The sequence below is a fragment of the Homo sapiens genome, chromosome 2 (assembly GCF_000001405.40).
Source record: "Homo sapiens chromosome 2, GRCh38.p14 Primary Assembly".
Classification (NCBI taxonomy): domain Eukaryota; kingdom Metazoa; phylum Chordata; class Mammalia; order Primates; family Hominidae; genus Homo; species Homo sapiens.
This window is the reverse complement of record NC_000002.12, coordinates 118467634-118488488: the sequence shown is the minus strand read 5'-3', so window position 1 is coordinate 118488488 and position 20855 is coordinate 118467634. Positions and strand designations below refer to the sequence as shown.

The window sequence follows — 20855 nt, the reverse complement described above, 5'->3', positions numbered from 1 at the left end:
CACTTTAACAAGTCTTCTGAAGGTCAGTCTATCCAAAGATGTCAAAGCTGTAATGGTGGCAATCCCAGTCCAGAGCCTGGCCAGTAAGGAAGGTGTTTCAGATAAATCCCTTCTAGCCTGTTACAAAGCTCCCTCCTAACATCTCTTTGCTGGTATGTTTTATCTGAGTCTAATGGGTACTGAGGCCTTTGGACCTCTTGGCAGATGGGGAGGAGGTCTCAGAGGCTTCCTTGTGCAGGTGAATTTTAAGAGACAGCTCAGGGTTGTGGTTAAAAGTACAGACCTTAAGGCCAAGTAGCCTGGGCTCGAATCCAAGCTCTGCACCTCTGGGAAAGTTACTTAAGCCCTGTGTGCCTCAGTTTCCACATTTGTAAAGTGTCAATGCAAATCACAGCATTTAGCCCCTTGAGTTGTTCAGAAGATTAAGGTTTAATACATTTATTGCTGAGCATGGCATGTAACTAGTGCTAGGTGTGAGCTACTATCATGATGACCACTACTGTTGCTGATGATGCTGTTCTCTTTCTTTTTTTTTTTTCTTTTTTTTTTTTTATTATACTTTAAGTTTTAGGGTACATGTGCACATTGTACAGGTTAGTTACATATGTATACATGTGCCGTGCTGGTGCGCTGCACCCACTAACTCGTCATCTAGCATTAGGTATATCTCCCAATGCTATCCCTCCCCCCTCCCCCCACCCCACAACAGTCCCCAGAGTGTGATATTCCCCTTCCTGTGTCCATGTGATCTCATTGTTCAATTCCCACCTATGAGTGAGAATATGCGGTGTTTGGTTTTTTGTTCTTGCGATAGTTTACTGAGAATGATGATTTCCAATTTCATCCATGTCCCTACAAAGGACGTGAACTCATCATTTTTTATGGCTGCATAGTATTCCACGGTGTATATGTTCCACATTTTCTTAATCCAGTCTATCATTGTTGGACATTTGGGTTGGTTCCAAGTCTTTGCTATTGTGAATAATGCCGCAATAAACATACGTGTGCATGTGTCTTTATAGCAGCATGATTTATAGTCATTTGGGTATATACCCAGTAATGGGATGGCTGGGTCAAATGGTATTTCTAGTTCTAGATCCCTGAGGAATCGCCACACTGACTTCCACAATGGTTGAACTAGTTGACAGTCCCACCAACAGTGTAAAAGTGTTCCTGTTTCTCCACATCCTCTCCAGCACCTGTTGTTTCCTGACTTTGTAATGATTGCCATTCTAACTGGTGTGAGATGGTATCTCATAGTGGTTTTGATTTGCATTTCTCTGATGGCCAGTGATGATGAGCATTTTTTCATGTGTTTTTTGGCTGCATAAATGTCTTCTTTTGAGAAGTGTCTGTTCATGTCCTTCGCCCACTTTTTGATGGGGTTGTTTGTTTTTTTCTTGTAAATTTGTTTGAGTTCATTGTAGATTCTGGATATTAGCCCTTTGTCAGATGAGTAGGTTGTGAAAATTTTCTCCCATTTTGTAGGTTGCCTGTTCACTCTGATGGTAGTTTCTTTTGCTGTGCAGAAGCTCTTTATTTTAATTAGATCCCATTTGTCAATTTTGTCTTTTGTTGCCATTGCTTTTGGTGTTTTGGACATGAAGTCCTTGCCCATGCCTATGTCCTGAATGGTAATGCCTAGGTTTTCTTCTAGGGTTTTTATGGTTTTAGGTCTAACGTTTAAATCTTTAATCCATCTTGAATTGATTTTTGTATAAGGTGTAAGGAAGGGATCCAGTTTCAGCTTTCTACATATGGCTAGCCAGTTTTCCCAGCACCATTTATTAAATAGGGAATCCTTTCCCCATTGCTTGTTTTTCTCAGGTTTGTCAAAGATCAGATAGTTGTAGGTATGCGGCGTTAATTCTGAGGGCTCTGTTCTGTTCCATTGATCTATATCTCTGTTTTGGTACCAGTACCATGCTGTTTTGGTTACTGTAGCCTTGTAGTATAGTTTGAAGTCAGGTAGTGTGATGCCTCCAGCTTTGTTCTTTTGGCTTAGGATTGACTTGGCACAAGACAGGGATGCCCTCTCTCACCACTCCTATTCAACATAGTGTTGGAAGTTCTGGCCAGGGCAATTAGGCAGGAGAAGGAAATAAAGGGTATTCAATTAGGAAAAGAGGAAGTCAAATTGTCCCTGTTTGCAGACGACATGATTGTATATCTAGAAAACCCCATCGTCTCAGCCCAAAATCTCCTTAAGCTGATAAGCAACTTCAGCAAAGTCTCAGGATACAAAATCAATGTACAAAAATCACAAGCATTCTTATACACCAACAACACACAAACAGAGAGCCAAATCATGAGTGAACTCCCATTCACAATTGCTTCAAAGAGAATAAAATACCTAGGAATCCAACTTACAAGGGATGTGAAGGACCTCTTCAAGGAGAACTACAAACCACTGCTCAACGAAATAAAAGAGGATACAAACAAATGGAAGAACATTCCATGCTCATGGGTAGGAAGAATCAATATCGTGAAAATGGCCATAATGCCCAAGGTAATTTACAGATTCAATGCCATCCCCATCAAGCTACCAATGACTTTCTTCACAGAATTGGAAAAAACTACTTTAAAGTTCATATGGAACCAAAATAGAGCCCGCATCGCCAAGTCAATCCTAAGCCAAAAGATGCTGTTCTCTTTCTTCGCAGCCCGTCTTTTCTTCTATGCAGAGTAAACAAACGATACTCTTCCTATTTGAATAACACTTTACAGTTCGTGACTACTTTCATACACATTTTGTCTTTAGTAGGGGTTGTTAAAGTAAATTAAAATGGAGAATCCCTGAGTGGACAAAACCAGTTAGGCCTCATAAGTGACCTAAGCCTTGCTTGATTTGCAAACATAAGGGAAACTTAACTCGAGCTATTTCTTGTAAACTCCTATATTAAAAACAAACAAACAAACAAAACAAACAGAATTTAAGTTCAACAAATCAGAAATAGCCAACAATCTTATAACTATATAACTAGGGACTTTCCAATTGGATAGGCCATATGAGGCAACTGTATAACTGTAACCAATCAAATACGTTATTTGCTTTAAATGTGTATCTGTTCTATAAAAGCTGCACCCTGCTCCACCCCCTTGCATTCCCTCAGTGGAGCACCTGAACCGCTTCTGGTTTAGAGCTGCCCAATTCATGAATCATTGTTTTATCAAATAGACTCTTTTAAAAATTGTATTATGCCTCAGTTTACCTTTTTTTTGAGACAGAGTCTTGCACTGTCACCAGGCAGAGTGCAGTGGCGCGATCTCAGCTCACTGCAACCTCTGCCTCCCGGGTTCCAGTGATTCTCCTGCCTCAGCCTCCTGAGTAGGACCACAGGCTCACACCACCACGCCCAGATAATTTTTGTATGTTTAGTAGAGACGGGGTTTCACCATGTTGGCCAGGATGGTCTTGATCTCTTGACCTTATGATCCACCCGCCTCAGCCTCCCAAAGTGCTGGAATTACAGGCGTGAGCCACCGTGCCCAGCCACCTCAGTTTACCTTTTTAACAGAGTGTTAACACTTTCCACAATTGAAGATGATTAAAATAGCCAGAAGAGTAATAAATAGACTTTTCCTAAATTACCATGGCAACAAATGGCAAATAAACCAGATCTGGCTTTATCAATTCATTTTTTCATTCATTCATGTGTTGTTACTCATCTTCCCACATTTTTTTGACCACCTGCTCTGTGTCAAGCATTGTGTAAATTACTGATGATATGGGTATAAGACACTCAATCCCATTTCTCCAGGGCTCATGGGCTAATGGGGTGCTGGAGATAATGTAGACAGTGTGGTGGTACGACTAGGAGAGAATACCGGTTGCCCCAGAAGACATAGAGGAGCCGGGAGGCAGGTGAGCAGAGGTTCCAAGGAGAAGGAACCCAGAGGTAAGTCTGGAAAGAGAAAAACAAATCATCAAGCACAAAAAGCAGGAAGGGAAGGCCACCTCTTCCTTCTCTAACCCCACCCATGCCCCAGTGCAGGTCCTCCCTGGGATTGGCAAAACTCTTGAGTTAAAAAACAAAGCAAAGCAGAACTCCCAATATTGCTGCATGCCTCATAGGTGCTCAGAGTGTTGAGGTTCAGTCCACAGGCGCTCAGCATCTAACTCAGGGATTGAGAACTGAGCAGGGCAAATGATGAGAAAACAAAGGCAGCAGGACGAGGGCAGGTACTGTATGCACAGTGTGGCCTGGAAGTGGAACTGGCCCCAGGTGACATAAACAGATGCCCAAAGGGAATCAGCCTGCTGGGTGTGTCTCTGACTTGTCTTGGTCACCCATAACATAACATCAGCTCCCTTTCACACACCACACACTATGCAGAAGACCATTTACATCGGTTACCTTTTTAATTTCACCTGTGGACCTTCAAGAGCAGATTTTGTAGAGAATTAGAAAACTGAGGCAGAAAAGGGTGACTGATTTGCCAAAGGTGGCTGAATTAGTTATCTGTTGCTGTTCACAGATTACCCCAAAACGTAGTGCCTAGGAGCCACAATTATGACTTATTATCTCTCACAATTTCTGTGAGCCAGGAATTCAGCCTGGACACTGCAGAAATGTCTAGTCTCTGTTCCCACAATGCCTAGTGCCTCTGCTGGAACATGCAATGACAGGGGACTGGAATCATCTGCAGGCTTACTCGCTTACATGCCTGGAGGTTGATGCTAGCTGCCTGCAAAGCCCTTTGCTGTGGCTGTTGAGTGGTCTCTCCGTGTGATCTAGGCTTCCTCACGACATGGTGGTAATATACCAAGAACAAGCATCCAGAAAGAAAAAGAGCTAGGCAAAATATATTGCCTTTCATGAGCTTACCTCAGCGGTCACAGCATGCCACATCCACCATATTCTTTTCATTGAAACAATTACAGACATCCATCCAGATCCAAGAAGGAAAAAAAAAAAAAAAGACCTCTCACTTTTCCAAGATCAATGTCAATGTTTCATTAAAAAGAGCATGTGAGATGGAGTATATATTGGAAATCTTTGCCAAAACAATCTTCCACAGTGATGTGAACTGGAGTCCTATCTTTGCTATGGCTATACCCAAACACCTGCCTTCTCGCAATACCAGCTCTGCTGCTGGGAGGGAGACACACTTGTCCACAGATGTCTGAGTACCCAGAGGTATGCTCGCTGGGCTTCCATGCTGGGTGACCTTCTGTTGCTTTGGAGAAGTTGGCCATTCCCTGAGCCTTGTCTTCTTTTGACTTTTTTGTCCTCTGAGCCCCAACCAGAGCTTTCAGAGAAATGCATGTGACAAAACCTCAAGCTGATCAAGCTCAGAAGACTAGCACCAGGGTAAACAGCAAAACAAGTTTGCCTTCCAGCCTCTCTGTTTTGGAGAGGACATCCTTAACCTTGTTTCCAGCTGTTTCTGTATTTCTATGCTGCCTATCACCTTTTAGACCCAGATGCGATATGAATTATTCATTTGATTTGGGGCAGGTGCACCCATTTCCTTCCAGAACCCCAGGGGCAGGCATAGGAAATTAATTCACAACGTCTGTAGCTGAAGTCACTTGCAATTTCCACACCAAGGAAAAAATAAAGATACGGGACTTGAGAAAGCTCCAAGGTGTTGAGAAGACTCATCAGCAGTTCTTCATTGCCTCTGTAGAGACAAAAAATGGGTACTGATCCCTGTATGAAAGGTTTATGCTTGTTATCAAAAAAGGGTTTCTCAGTCCTGGAGGTTACAAGTCCCCATAATAGTGACTAGGGCATGTCACAGAAGCTCTTCCCTGGAAATCTTAAGACAAGAATGGCCAGGCACATAATCCCTGCAATCTCAGCACTTTGAGGGGCTGAGATGGGAGGATCCCTTGAGCTCAGGAGTTCGAGAACCTGGGAAACATAGCAAGACCTCATCTTCACTAAAAATTAAAAAAAAGTAGCCAGGCTTGGTGGCATGTGCCTATAGTCCCAGCTACTCAGGAGGCTGAGGCAGGAGGATTGCTTGATTCCAAGAGACAGAGGCTGCAGTGAGCTGTGATCACACTACTGCACTCCAGCCTCGGCAATAGAGCAAGACCTCGTCTCAAACAAACAAACAAACAAACAAACAAACAAACAAAGGCACAAACCACTTGGACACAGAGGATGTGCCTGCTGACTACTCAAGGTTCCCTTCAACTTGACTCTTCTGTTATTGACTGAGTATTCCAGGACTAATAAGTTGAGGTTCTGTCCCTAAAGAGCGTAGAGTTTCAGGGTTTCTTCACCCTGGGTGTTAAATGTGCTTGAAGGGCAAGCCTTAGAGATGGTCGCTAACGGTGCTCCAGACTGAAGGCCAGCCCTCACTGCTCTGGATTTCTTAAGAGCTTAGTTATTATGTGCCCTCCATCATTAGAACTGTGATTGTGCTGCTACCTTCAGCATTTTTTTGAAGCTGACTTTTTCTTATTATAAATTTAAAAATATTCTGGAGCAGTCCTGATTCCCTAACCATGTCCTCAAACATGGGAAATTTCTGACTGAGAGGATTGCATCTGAATGTAATAAAATAACCATAGACTCTTAGACCCGGGCAAGGAGAGGAAGTATTTTCTGATGGTCTCCATCAAGTGCCAGGGGTTCTTCTAGGTGTCCTTAGGGCCTTGCGGGTGGAGGAGAGGGCAGTTAGTGAACAGACTCCAGAACCGCCCATCCCAGATCTCACTAGAGCAACTTATGTTTATCTGTTTATCAGGCACATACTGAATCAAGGGGTCCTAATTAAAAGAAATTTAACAAACACTAACCCAACTCGTTGGTTTGTAGAAGGCAAGATGGATGCCAGAAGAGGGCCACTTCTTACCCACAATAATATTAAATGGCTTTTACCCAAAGAGAATTATCCAGAAACTCAAAACCCCAGCTCTGTCACATTTTCTTTCAGAAAAGTCATCTTTGCACTGAGTGTTTGGACTGTAGATCATGCAGTTTTTTATAGCTCAAATCCATTGTTTGTGGAGGAGCTATGGAAACAGAAAGTTTACAAGGCATAAACTGCCTTCCCAGAATTACCGATAGGAAGGGCCTTTTTTGTTTTTTCTCTTTTGCATCCATTTTTGTTATTTCAGTAATTGCTCTCTCTGGACTCTTGGGACACTTAGACACCTGGTTAAATTGATTCTTTTCACACTTCCAATTTGAAAAGAATCTTATGCCATAAAATACATCTACCCTGATTCTTTTCTTCATTGCCATTTGATCTGGGAACTGTTTGGCCTTAGCAACCCGTACTGATTGATAAGTGTGAACTACAAGGAAGCCATGTAACAACAATTCTAAGTGGTTATGGTTATTTATGGCATGAAATTTAGCAAATGCATTTGCTGCCAGAAATATTTGACATAAAATTTCCAGAAAAAAAAATCCTGTTAATACTGAGAGCTGAATTTTTGTTAAGAATCTTTTATTAGGTCATCCCCAGGATGATAACTGAAAGTATTATTAATTATTGCTATAATTCTATATATTAGTATTATTATATTAGTATTATTATACACTAATATATAGAATTATATAGAACAATATATTGCTATAATTCTATATATTAGTATTTTATATAATAGTATTGCATACTATTATGGTGATGTTGAGATTGAGACACTCAACATAACTCCGGGATACATGTTCTTTGTCATCTTATTGGAGCAGCTATCCCTTTATATGCCTTTAGAGTGCCTTTTGGCTAGAAATCACATCTGTTTCTTTTAAAAGCATATTCAGAAAATCATTTAAGTTTTTCATGGAAATGCTGAGCTATCATTAAGAATTTCAAGTTGCTTAAAAATTAAAAAGTGAATGAATACTAAAGAACTGTGAGATTTTGTAAGTAAATTGATCTCTAACTCAATTGATCCCAACTCAGATATTTTTAGAATGCATTTTTAAAATTTTTATTTTTATTAGGTTTTCTGCCTTTTCTCTCACCTTTTCTTTTCACTTCTAGTTTGGGAAAATAAATCGCTGTGTATGTTATGATTAGGTGCAAAGTAAGAGCTAATGGATTCCAAGTGGGACAATTGAGCTCCAACATATTGAGCTCTAGGACAGCCATGTCAACCACTCAAGCTTTTTGTTTCCTCTTGGGTCCTCAGCTGCATTTCAGATCACTGCTTGCAGGTCAAGCAACTTTGGGCTAAGGATATTTTACTGTAATTACTATGACTGTCTGCCATTTCAACTGCAAGAACTCCTGTTATATCTTGTCAAATATTCAGATGCTGCCTAGTATCCTTTACAGGAATATTGGTTTGCAAAAACCAAAAAGGCTCTGTTACCTGGTAAGCTCATTTATAGCATATTCCATTGCAAGTATATCTAAAATGGTCATGTGCCTCCATGGTTTTGTGATAAATTATATTAACTTATTATTGGTATTATGCAATTATCGATTCACTGATTTATCAAATATTAATTGAACACCAACTCAGTGCCAGGTACTGTTCTAGGGTCTGGAAATATTGCAGTGGACAAAACAAAGTCCTTGTCTTCATGGATCTTATATGCTATTAGGGTTTTTTAATTTGGATTACAATTTTAAAATGCCTGCAAAATTTAATCCCACTCACCCTCATGTGACCTTCAAAAAACTTTGAGAAGTAGGCAGGGTGGGTACTAATTGTGCATTTCACAGATGAAGAGACTTACTTGGATTTTCCTCTTCCCATCTGGTAGAACCCAGGAAGGACTGAACTGAGTGAACTTTATCAGGAGAGACAAAAGGGCTGAGTGTGTGAGTGAGTATGCACAGTGTGTGCATACCTGGGTCTCTGCACTGTGAAGCCTGAGGACCCCAAACCGAGATGGATGTGGGTTCAACCTGCTTTGGAGCATCTCCTTTCCCTCTCAGATGTCCTCTTTTCTCTGTCTTTCCACCTCTGCAGGAAGTTGTGTGGAACGCAGAGGAAAGATCTGCTGGGCGTGGGTGTGCCCTTCCTCCCCAGCTATTATGCTTAGCAGGTTGGGGGGCCAGCACCTCAAGTGGGAACAGGTATCCCCACGTGTGTGGGCATTGTGCAGGAGCAAAGCAGTGACACAGCCATTTACAAGAAAGGACATGCTCGTCACTAACAGCACAGTAAACCTCTGCAGAGACTCACTGAGAAGGCATTGACCGCAGGACACGAATCACAAGTGTCTCTTGTCAGGAGGCATTTCTTAAGTGTTCCGATGCCCATTAGCTCCCCCACAGTGGCAGGGCAGGTTGTGAGAAGCATGGCGGAGCAGCAGGCTGCCCTGGCCACCCACCTGGCATTCAGCTTCTGTATCACCTTCCCCCTTTGAGGACACTGGCAAGGCAAGGCGTCTCTCTAGTAGGCAGACAGGGCAGGGGTCCCTTCCTGCAGAAAGCCTCTGGGGATAGAGATGAATAGAGAATCTAAAGGAATCCCAGGGAACCCCCATAGAAACTGAGATTCACCACCTGCATGGGCCAGCAGCCCCCACATCCCTGATTCCCACCCCTCCTAGGGCACGTCACATTTTCTCCTGTGAACATTTTGAAATATTCATACATGAAAATTAATATTTTATTTTTATGGCTCCTCATGTTCTCAACTCTCAAATGGGAGCAACTCTGCTACCTGCCCCGGAAGCTGTGAGGATTGAAAAAGTTGCTGTGAGAAGGAGCGACAAAGGGCATGGTGTGCTCGTGTCTACCTGAGAGTGGCTCAGCACTCAGGCAGGCTCCATGCCTGGGCAGGGCCAGGCAGAGCTGGGCTGGCACCCCAGTTCTGTATTAGCAGCTCTGAATTTAAGTCTCTTCAAAAACGGATGAGGACACCTACTAACACCTACAACACAGGGCGATAGTAAGGATTAAATTAATACCATGCATGTACAGTGGCCCTTCATGTCCATGGCTTCTGCATTCATGGATTCATCCAACTGAAAATCAAAAATACTTGAAAAAAAATGGATAGTTGCATCTGTACTAAACACATAGATAATTTTTCTTGTAATTGTTCCCTAAACAATATAGTATAACATCTATTTATACAACATTTACATTGTATTGGTTATTCTAAGTAACTTAGAAATAAAGTACGCAGGAGGGTATGTGTAAGTTATATGCACACACTACTCTATTTTATATCAGGGACTTGAGTATCTACAGATTTTGGCACTTACAGGGGTCCTGGAACCAATCAACCCCCAACAGATATCAAAGGACAAGTATATTCCCCAGCATGGGTTCCAGCATATAGTAAGTGCTCCAGAAATGGAAGCTGAAGTTGGAGATGTACAGATCTCAGAACTTTGGTTTCATCCACAGATCATATGGATTAAAGATAAGATAAATTGCCTGTAATCCCAACACTTTGGGAAGTCGAAGCGTGCAGATCACGAGGTCAGGAGTTCAAGACCAGCCTGACCAACATGGAGAAACCCTGTCTCTACTAAAAATACAACATCAGCTGGGGATGGTGGCGCATGCCTGTAATCCTAGCTACTCAGGAGGCTGAGGCAGGAGAATCGCTTGAACCAGGGAGGCAGAGGTTGTGGTGAGCCAAGATCCGCCATTGCACTCCAGCCTGGGCAACAAGAGTGAAACTCCGTCTAAAAAAAAAAAAACAAAAAATTAAAGAGCAAAGCCTTCAAGAGAGGGACTCTCAGGTTAGTATCGGGAGGATGCAGGGTTGAGACAGCCAGACTGAAAGTCTGTATTATTGCAAACTGCCTCAAAAGCCTATTTTTTTTTCCAGCTATCTTTTGGACCTTATTGGTTCTAATTTGCTTAAAAGGGCTTCCCTTTGGGAGGAAACACCCAATACCATCTGCTTCATTGTTTTGTGGGAATATATGCAGTTAAAAGGGGAAAACAGTATTTGCCCAGTCTGAAGCTTTTGGTGCTCTCCCACAACTATTTGACCTGAATATATTAAATATTGTAATGTTTTGTTACATGTCCCAGGGCAAAAAAAAAATCCAGGCTATCACTTATTAGCTTTCTGTTCCTGGATCCTTCCACAGTTGATTCAATGGAGCAAAAGATAGTGGGGAAATCCAAAGGTAAAGGTTAAACTCTGTTTTATTATGTTTACAGGATTTAAAGGGTAAGTCAGGAAGTGCTTACATAACATGAAGTGAAAGTGGTGGATTAGTAACCAGAGCGAGACTTAAAAGCAGCCTTAATCCTCCGAATCTCCAGGGGTGAAAGGTCAACCTCTAACACCAGGTTGTGTAAAGAATGGAGAAGGCACAAGCTTCTGTTTCATCGTGGCCCTGCTAATCCACTGAGGAAATGAGCAGCCGGGGGCTTGGGGAGAGGTAAACGCCTCCTCCAAGGAAAGCCACCTGTGAATTTAGCCAAGGAGGACGTAATTAAAGTCAGAAGGGCCCAGTGCAGGGGGGCAGGCAGGCAGACGGACACAGCCCCCAGCTGCAGCGTTTGACAGTGGGCAGGGGGCTTCTACCACCTCTGAGGAGTCAACTGTGCTGGGCCCCCAGCCAAACCTGCACACGGACCATTGCTTTTTTCCCAACAGGCTCTTGCCATTCTGAAAAATGGGCTGGCAGACCAATGACAATCACACATATATGGACACACACACACATACACACACACACACACACACACACACACACACAACCTCATCAGTAATTCTGGAAGAGGATGGTTGACATACTAAAAGAGTCAGTTGCCAAGTACAGGGGCCCAAAGAAATATTAATAAATCAGGCCTGCCTCGCTTGCTTTCTTGCTGGCTTGCCCTCTCTTGCTCATCAAAAATGGAGAAAAAGAAAACCTTTTCTTACTCATGAATATAGGATTTAAATAGATCCTCTAAAATTATATTCAGGCTTGTCCCCTAGGATTTTAAATACTTTTGGAAGTAATTGCCTGTAATATATTGAAGCGTGTTTATCTAGCTATCTGAGCTGCCGACTGTCCATCTCCATATCCATCTCACTGTCTACCTACTTACTGATTGGATGTGTATTTAAAGCATCTTAAGACACAAAAATAAACCTGAGGGCAAGGGTGACATCATATGGATATAAGCACTTAAAAAAAGAGAAGCCTAATTGTAAGGACAGCAAAATCCATGATGCAGACACCTTTTTCTCCTCTGTCTCCCTTGGCAGCCATTTTTGGCCAAGAAAAGTAGTCAACTTTTGGATCCTCAGCCCCTGGCTTTGCCCAAGAAAGCATCTTTCCCTGAATTCCCCATAAAACCACAGTGCGTTACATGGAACATTTAAAGTCCACGACTTAGTAAATGTCGAAACAAATCGGAACTTTGAATACAATCAATTTACAAAAGAAAGTTTGAACACGTTTCAGCACAAAGCTAAAAAAGCTTTCAGAGTAGCCGTTCCATATTTAGTCTGAGCTGGCCTTTATTAAATCACTGGTGAAAAACACGGAGATTCGTCTCAGCTGTAGTTTCATCATCTTAAAACAGCAGAGGCATTTATCTTATGAAATTGCAGAAGTCGAGCCCTGTGCAGACTGATGGCTCCAAGGTGCTTTTGGCATTAGTATCTGATTGTCTCGCCTAAGGTGTTTATGACGCGTGCGGCTGTTAATAGCTTATGCTGTTCATTTTTTACAGAATTTGTGGTTTAAGCAATATGCTTAGAATATCTAAAATATTTCTTTCCTTCTTTTAAAAAATGGTATCAAACTGTTTCATGTGAAATATGAAAAGTGCTTAGTTGCATATATTTGATTCTTTGCCACCCTTTCCCCTCCTTCAGAACTCTCAGCTCTTTCCTTGGTGTTTCAGAGCCTGGCTCATTCCCACCAACTATTTTCTTCATTAAGTCAAAACCAATAACCTAACTGCATTTGGGAAATAAGGGTGATAATTAAGTATTTGCTTCTCTTGGGATATGGGTTTTAAACAATAGATCATATACAAGATTCAGGTGCACACCATGAAGAGCGTCTAAGCCTGCTTGATACTTAAGGTGGGACTGAGGATTGCAGTTTGATTCAAACACCCACTGTATCAGAGCTCCAGAAACAACTGCCTCATGACATTGACTTGGCTCTACAAAGGGTCAGATTTTGCCCCTTGATACAGTCATTTGGTGTAGTCAAATTTTATGCCAAAATGGTTCCCCTACATTTTGCCCTCATATGCCCCTCAGCCCTACTACAGCATTACTTCAATGGGGGAAAGAAGGAGGGACAGCAGTCTTTAAAAACTAAAGTTGAAATCAAAGCAATTTAAACTGGAAATTCCACTCACAAGGAAACTGGTTAGGAAAGGAACTGGTTATGATAAATGGGTACAGGGTCAACAGTCAAGGCACAGTGATTAATTTAAAAAGAAACTATTTCTAAGTTCTGACCCCCAATCTTAGAGAGAATGAGGGACCTCAAAAGGAAGTTGTGTCTAGTATGTTTACGGGATAGAAGTCGTGGGAGATGTCAGGACACCGGCAGCACACCAGCCTGGATACCCAATCGGCCTATGGCAGGACAGCAGGGCACAGGGCATGTGAAGGAAAGACTAAGTCCTAACTCGAAACCTTTTAAACCTCTTTCCTCACCTCTGCATTTGAAATCTGGTGTTGAGACGAGGGCAAGCCCTACGGAAGAGAATTTGCATATTTTCATTTTGCCTAAATGCAATGAAATAGATTTAAAGAGAAAATAGCTTTGTCTCATTAAATCCTCCATTTGAGGCAAACTTCAGCAAAGCATAAGCAGAAAACAACATCTTAGACCAAAGGGCTCAATATTCACATTTTGAGGCTGTCACGAATCCCAACAACATGCTAGACAGAATTTATAACAATCCAAGAAAGCAGGATCCAGTAGAATAACTTATCTCACAGATGAACCGTGCATTTTGTTCCAAGTCATACAGGTCGATGCCAATGGGCCCAGGCCCTAGAGCAGCCCCTTTTCCAGGGCTGAAGCTCACATATAACATCTCTCTCTCATGAAGGAGGAAAACAGGAGATATTTGCAAACAGCTCTGTGGTCCTGAATCACATAGGAGTGTGGGGGAGGGGGCCTCAGGCTGAAGTTCTAGCTCTGCCCCGGGCTTCACCTTGTGAGTCCCTGAGAAATAGGGGTGATAACGGCCTCTCTGCAGGGTTGCTACAGGGGATTTAAAGGGATAATGTGTGCAAAGCACTTAACACAGCGTCTAGCACAAAGTAAACCCTCCATAATGACAGCTGTTATTATCAATTAGCCTGGCTCATTTCCTTTGTAAGAATCAGCTTTACTGACCCAGCAGAAATCTCTAAGCAAGAGTCCTCTGTTCAGGGGTGAGTCGTGCCACCTATGCACAGAGGCCAACCACATATCACAGACCTAAGTCACCCTTTCAGTCTCCCCTCAAATGTCCCTCTAAGGTGATGGAGTCGTGCTTGGTACCTCTACTTAGAGTAGTACCTACAGCCTCTCGCCCCTTTCAGTCTTTGCCTTGTGACTTGGAGTCTAGGCGTGGAGTAGGGGGATAAAGAGTAGGAAAGGGTGGGGCTAACTCAGAGACTTTAGCATGGGGAGGGGAAGAGCTGACAACTTTCCAGAAATTTAGCAAGCAGTCCAGGTGTTAGCATAATGTGCAAATTTTAGGAAAAGAGTTTAGAACAGGAAATGCAAATACGGCTCTCATTTTCACAAAGCAGATTTCTCTTACAATAACAAATTCTCTGGAATCTCCTAAATATCCAGGAAATAAAGGCGTACCCTATATCCTTTTAAATAAGGACATAAGCTGCAAAAAGTTCCGGCTTTACACCGGATCCTGAAAGACTTATCAGTCCTGTATAACAAATATCCAGTTTCTCCAGGAAAAGAAGCCCAAAGAGTCTTTAAGTCATACTTAGTTTTAACAGAGAAAGTAAACTGCTTTTTTATAGTATTTGTGACAATGACTGCAATCCTCCCTCTATCAGCCCAGTTACTTTTTCTTTACAGAGAGGTTCGGGAGGACTTTTAAATATTTTAAAAGTAAACAACTCTAATTTCAAAGACTTGCTTTCAAAATGCTGGCCTAATGAAGTTAAAAACCTAGAGAAAGAGTGAGTGACTTGCATTCTTGTACGGATTCCAACACATGACCAGCAGTTATTCTGGCATCCACACGTTGGCATTGGAGGTCAGCGCTAAAAACCTTTCACTGCCTCATTCTCCTGCTCTGAAAGACATTCATCTGGGCTAATCAAATAATAATGAGAATGAGCACTTTCTATGCTCCAGGCACTGTTCTAAACACTTCGCATGTATGGACTCACTCAATCCCTCTTAACCCTCTGGGATAGGTACCACCCTGTGTTGGTTCCGCGCGGCGCTCTGGCTTTCTTCATGCACCAGAGGAGAAACTGTGCTTGCACCCTCCAAGCTGGGGCTCCAGTCCATAGCGCCAGGTTCTAATTCCAGCTCTGTCACTAACAGCAGGTGACTCTGGAAGCCTGCTTAAGCTCCTTAGCTTTAATTTCTTCATCAATAAATAAAACACAGGAAGCATCTGGCTTCCATTGTCCTTTTTAATTCTGGTTATGATTTTCATAAAACCCCAAAGCCAAGAGCCTTAAAATAAGTCAAGTGTTCATGTATCCAATGAAATCGTGGCTTGGATTTCAGGCTTGGGTATCTTCTCTACTGGAGAAGTTTTGCACCAATGATTTGGGGCAGTGGATGGGTGGGGCCTTGCAAACTGGTCTGCTGAGAAAGAAAGCAAAGAATAAACATAGAAAGCTTGGAGAAATCTGCTTGCCAAATCTGATTTTTATCACAGATGACTCCAGTTACCTCAAGGAGTGTCAAGAGAACTTCAAAGTAAAAAAATTAATTCATTCACATTTTACATTTTAAAGTGTTGGTGGAGGTGGGAGGAGTGGCTCACAGAACTGTCAGTAACAGGGGCCTGGGAAAGTGAGGGTCCTTGAAAAAGTAGATAGTGTCACAGCCCAAGAGTAGAAATATATCTTCCTTTAAACTGCTATCTATCTTTCCACCTAGTAAATTTATGGAGATAAACATCAACCTGGCCAGGTGTGGTGACTCACACCTGTAATCCCAGCATTGGGAGGCCGAGGCGGGTGGATTACTGGAGGTCAGGAGTTCAAGACCAGCCCGGCCAACATGGTGAAACCCTGTCTCTATTAAAAACACAAAATTAGCCAGGCATGGTGGCACACGCCTGTAATCCCAGCTACTTGGGAGGCTGAGGCAGGAGAATGGCTTGAACCCGGGAGGTGGAGGTTGCAGTGAGCTGAGATAGCGCCACTGCACTCCAGCCTGGACAAAAAGAGCTAAACTCCTTCTCAAAAACAAAAACAAAAACATCAACCCACCATAGACAGACCCCGGTTCCGTAATTCTGAGCACAAACCCTTTGAGATAATGAAGTTTTGCAGCCGGAATTCTAGTTCAGTCCCAGTGCAGGTGTTAAAACTTGGGAAATAAACAAGGTACAGAACTGGAAACTGGGTAGTTCTCTAGGTGGCTGCAGCAGGGTGGTGGCTGGGGAGGAAAAATATAAACTTTGGAGTCAGGCAAAATCCCACTTTCTCACTCACTAGTCATCTGTTCTTCTTAGGCAAGCTGCTTCCTATCTTGGAGCATTGGTGCCTCTAATTTGAGAGAGTTAGTGCCTGCATCAGCAGGTTTCCATATTAATCAAATGTGAGCACGTGTGTGCAAAGTGCTTAATGGAAAAATAGAATATTTGATTATTAACTTTTATGCCCTCCTCCCTTAAAGAAAAAAATAAAAATAATATTTTAGATTTTTTTACAGGTACAGCCAAACCCCTCCAGCTACAGAATGCTCCTGGGTTGCCTGATGCAGGTTTCTGTAAATAAAAAAGCATTACGGCATTTGTGCGAAGTGTTTGGCACAAATGGTAACTATTCCATTTAGTTTTTGCCTTCTGTCTTTAAAAAAAATACCATAGTTCACATTTTTAAAATTTTCAATCCACTTTTTTTTTTTTTTTTTTTTTTTTTGAGACGGAGTCTCGCTGTAGCCCAGGCTGGAGTGCAGTGGCGCCATCTCGGCTCACTGCAAGCTTTGCCTCCCGGGTTCACACCATTCTCCTGCCTCAGCCTCCCGCGTAGCTGGGAATACAGGCGCCCGCCACCACGCCCGGCTAATTTTTTGTATTTTCAGTAGAGACGGGGTTTCACCGTGTTAGCCAGGATGGTCTTGATCTCCTGACCTTGTGATCCGCCCGCCTCGGCCTCCCAAAGTGCTGGGATTACAGGCGTGTCATTCCACATTTTTTTAAAGGTAGAGCAAGGATACTCAAGGCAGGAACTGTCCCTTGGCTGAGTAACATAGGTCTAAAGAGTTGGAAAAGAGAGGCTGGGGATGGTGGGGACCCAAGGCACAGAAAGTCAGAAAGCCATGGTTCTCTCTAAGATGGAACTAAAAGGTAAATATCTTATCCTCCTTTATCAAAGTAGTATCTGCATAGTTGTTTTATTTTTTAAATGATAATTTTTTGTCTCTTACTTGTGCTCTTTCAACATGTTCACCTAAACTATTTTTAAAATAGGGTTATTATGTTTATAATGACTAGAAAGAACTCATATCCAAGAAGCATTATCACTCCTAAAGTATGTCATTCTCTCTTTACCACACCCTAATAGTGAGGACAATAATTTACTCATAAAGACTAGTAGTTGGCATTTGTATGGAAGTTATTCAGCTATTGCATGAGAATTAAAATAAAATTATCTTCTCACCAAAGCAGTTAGTAATTACCCCAGGCTAAGGCTGAGGTAGAGCTCAGAAGAATATGAGTTCTGTGGATCTTCATTTCTCTATAAAATTAGTAACTTCCTTGCACATTAAATGAATTACGTACAACCTTAAATACCTATTTTCAAAACACAACCCCCAAATGCCCAGCCAGGTCAAAAAATATATTTTTTTCTCTCAAAAATCAGCCCATTTTGACCACTTTTGGCATTTGTCTTTGTCAGAAACGTTTTGCCAAAGTCCTGATTGCCTCTTCCCAGCCAGCAAAATGCTCATGGATGGTGTGTTTTATGACAGCAGCCCCTGGGGCTGGACAGCTCATGAGGCAGTCAGAGAAGAGACAGAAGGAGGGAGAGGGAGGAAAAGGGGTGTCGGGCGGGGGCAGAGAATGGGAGGTGAAAGTGAGAGAACAAGAGAGAGATGGAAAGGAAGGGACTCATACATTGTCTCTGTTGTCTCGTTTCTCTCTCAAATCCTCAGTCCATTCCAGAGAGAGGGTGTGTTTTTGGTAGACTGTCCTGGGCTCTCTCAGTTCTGTAACACATCTTTGAACTTCTGAGTACACACTAAGAATCTATTATCCCTATTCTATTCCCCATCAGTCTAGCCACCTGTCCATCTCCCTCCACGCTAACTATATCCCCTTCCTGTGTGTGTGTGTGTGTATTTCCGATGTATATACACATATGCGATAAATACATTCTCATGTTAAAGAGTATTTGCAGAGATTCACCTGAATGCACCCAAAATATGATGTACACAATACATATTCAATATCTTCTAAATTATTAAAATCAGGAAAGGAAGAGGATTACCAATTATGGATAATCCAATAGAATTCATAAATTATTTCTAGAAAATACTTTAATCAATGTAGATATGTTATACAATTTATAATTTCATTCTTTTTCTATGATCAAAGTTGCTCATGGTCATAGAAATTTTGAAAAATAGAACAAAAGAGAGGTGAAAAAATTATTCATAAACCTAGGATTTGGAGCAAGCTACTAGTAACATCTAGTGTGTTTGTTCCTAGTCTTTATATATAGCTTTAATAGTTACAATGTTAGGGTTTCTGAATTTTTCTATCATTGTGTTTTTCACTAAAAATAAAACAAAAAGCATTCTTCCTTGGTATAAGGTCTTCATAAACCTAATTTTAAATGACTATAAATAATTACATTGAATGAAGTATCATAATTTAGCTAATCATTTTCCTACTGTTGTATATATAATTTCTTCCCAATAGTTTGTCATCAACGCTGTTCCTACCGAACACCCCACACCATTTCTCTCATCCTCCTCAGGAAGCCTTTCCACATTTCATCCATTTAACAAATGTTGTTATCAGGGCAGCTGCCAGGATACCTGGCTAGACAAGAGACACACAGCAGTAGATAAAAAGAGCAGCATCCCTACAGCCACAGGACTTGTGTCCTGCCTGACCTCGTTTTCAACCTTCCCAAGGGTGGCCTCAATGCTTCGGGAATCTCTGTGCTTTGCTGATAAACCCTGTGCTGTGCCCTCCCACTTAGGCTCAACCACAATGCTAGCCCTTGGGGTGAGAGAGCATTTCAACGTGTTCCTTCTGATACCCTCTAGAGCACGTAGCATGAGGCTTTGCGGACTGTAAGCGTGCAGCAAATGTGGAAAGAGCCTCATTCCTATTACAGGGACCAGCCTCCCCCATTTGTGTGGTCTCTAGCTTCATACTTGTTCACTTCATTCCACATTTTCTGAGCATCTATTATGCTCCGGGCTGTGTGCTAGACAACGTGGGGAGAACAAAACATGATTTAATAACATTCCTGCCCTAATCCCTCATCTAGGAGGAAATATAAACCTGGCCCAATGGTAACTGTAATATGAGAAAGCCTTTGCCCAGCAATAATGATTATAACAGGCACCACTTATTAGGTGCTAATTGCGTTCTGTGAAAGTTACAGAACGTTACACAGCTTGCATACTTTACACAGTTCCTACAGACTGGATGTTATTATCCCCTTTTCTAGGTGACAAAGCTGAGACCCAGGGCTCTCAGGAACAGCCCCCACAAAGAGCCAGGGGAGCACAAAGGGAAGAAACATGACTCAACACTGGAGGGAACTGATGGGATTTCACAGGGTAAATGCTACATAGGTGGGGGCTCAGAGGCTCCCCAGCTTCTGGAAACCTGGAAATAGAAGGAAAAGGCACTCCAGCTCGAGGAAATCATTTCTATCTGGGATGCCTCTTCCTTTTAACTCCAGGTTTCCAGAAATTGGGAAGCCCCCAATTTAGAGAAGCCTTTGAGTCAGAGCAAAGCCATTGAGTCAGAAATCTCATGGGTATTTCAGAAATGGTGACCACACGTGGCATGAACTAACATATCTGTCAATAATGCTCAAAGGTAGGTTTGGTGGGACTAGGAGGCAATGGCCAGGGATGTCTGAGCATCAACTGTATGCCAGAGACTTTACCTATGTTATTTCATTTTGGCCCCTTCAGCCCTATGAGGTTAGTATTACTACCTCCATTTTAAGGATAAAGAAACTGAGGCTATGAGTAAGTGGCCAACTCTGAATATAACCACAGTCTTACCTGGCAGCTCTGCAGGGTGGTTAAGAACACAGGCCTGCACCCTTGGCCTCCCAAAGTGCTGGGATTACAGGCGTGAGCCACAGCCTGGCCAACATAGTGAAACCCTGTCTGTACTAAAAATACAAAAAATTAGCCAGGTCTGGTGGGGGCCCCTGTAATCCCAGCTACTCGGAAGGCTGAGGCAGGAGAATCACTTGAACCCGGGAGGTAGCAGTTGCAGTGAGCCAAGATCTTGCCACTATACTCCAGCCTGGGCAACAGTGCAAGACTCCGTCTCAAGAAAAAAAAAAAGAACAGGCCTGAGTACTTAACTTCCTTGTGCGTCAGTCTTCTCATCTGTGAAATGGCCATGCAGTGGCACCTTCCACATAGGGAAGTTGTAAAGACTAAATGAATGAATACATTGAAGTGCATGGAGTGGACGAACTGCTCAATATGTACTACTGACGGTGACGATCCTTCCCCTGCTCTCTGGCTCTGTCTGTCACCTGGCTCTCTGTCCATCAAGGCTTACATCCATGACTACAACAGGGCCATTTCTTCCCTTCCCTGCCTGCTCATGACACTCACTAACGGGGCCAGGCACTTGGA

General features: G+C 42.5%; 1 long non-coding RNA gene across 1 annotated transcript in view, besides 1 other annotated feature; it reads left to right on the top strand.

Annotated features, from left to right (window-relative positions):
- Positions 1 to 20855, top strand: part of LOC105373579 (uncharacterized) — a 33603-nt gene that overhangs the window by 4919 nt on the left and 7829 nt on the right. The gene's annotated exons all lie outside the window — the stretch shown is intronic.
- Positions 10869 to 11404: an enhancer, noted in NCBI's record as "NANOG-H3K4me1 hESC enhancer chr2:119234661-119235196 (GRCh37/hg19 assembly coordinates)". NCBI's record gives its function as "activates a minimal SCP1, AML or CMV promoter by ChIP-STARR-seq in naive H9 embryonic stem cells {active_cell/tissue: H9 hESC(naive)}" and the evidence as "EXISTENCE:reporter gene assay evidence [ECO:0000049][PMID:30033119]".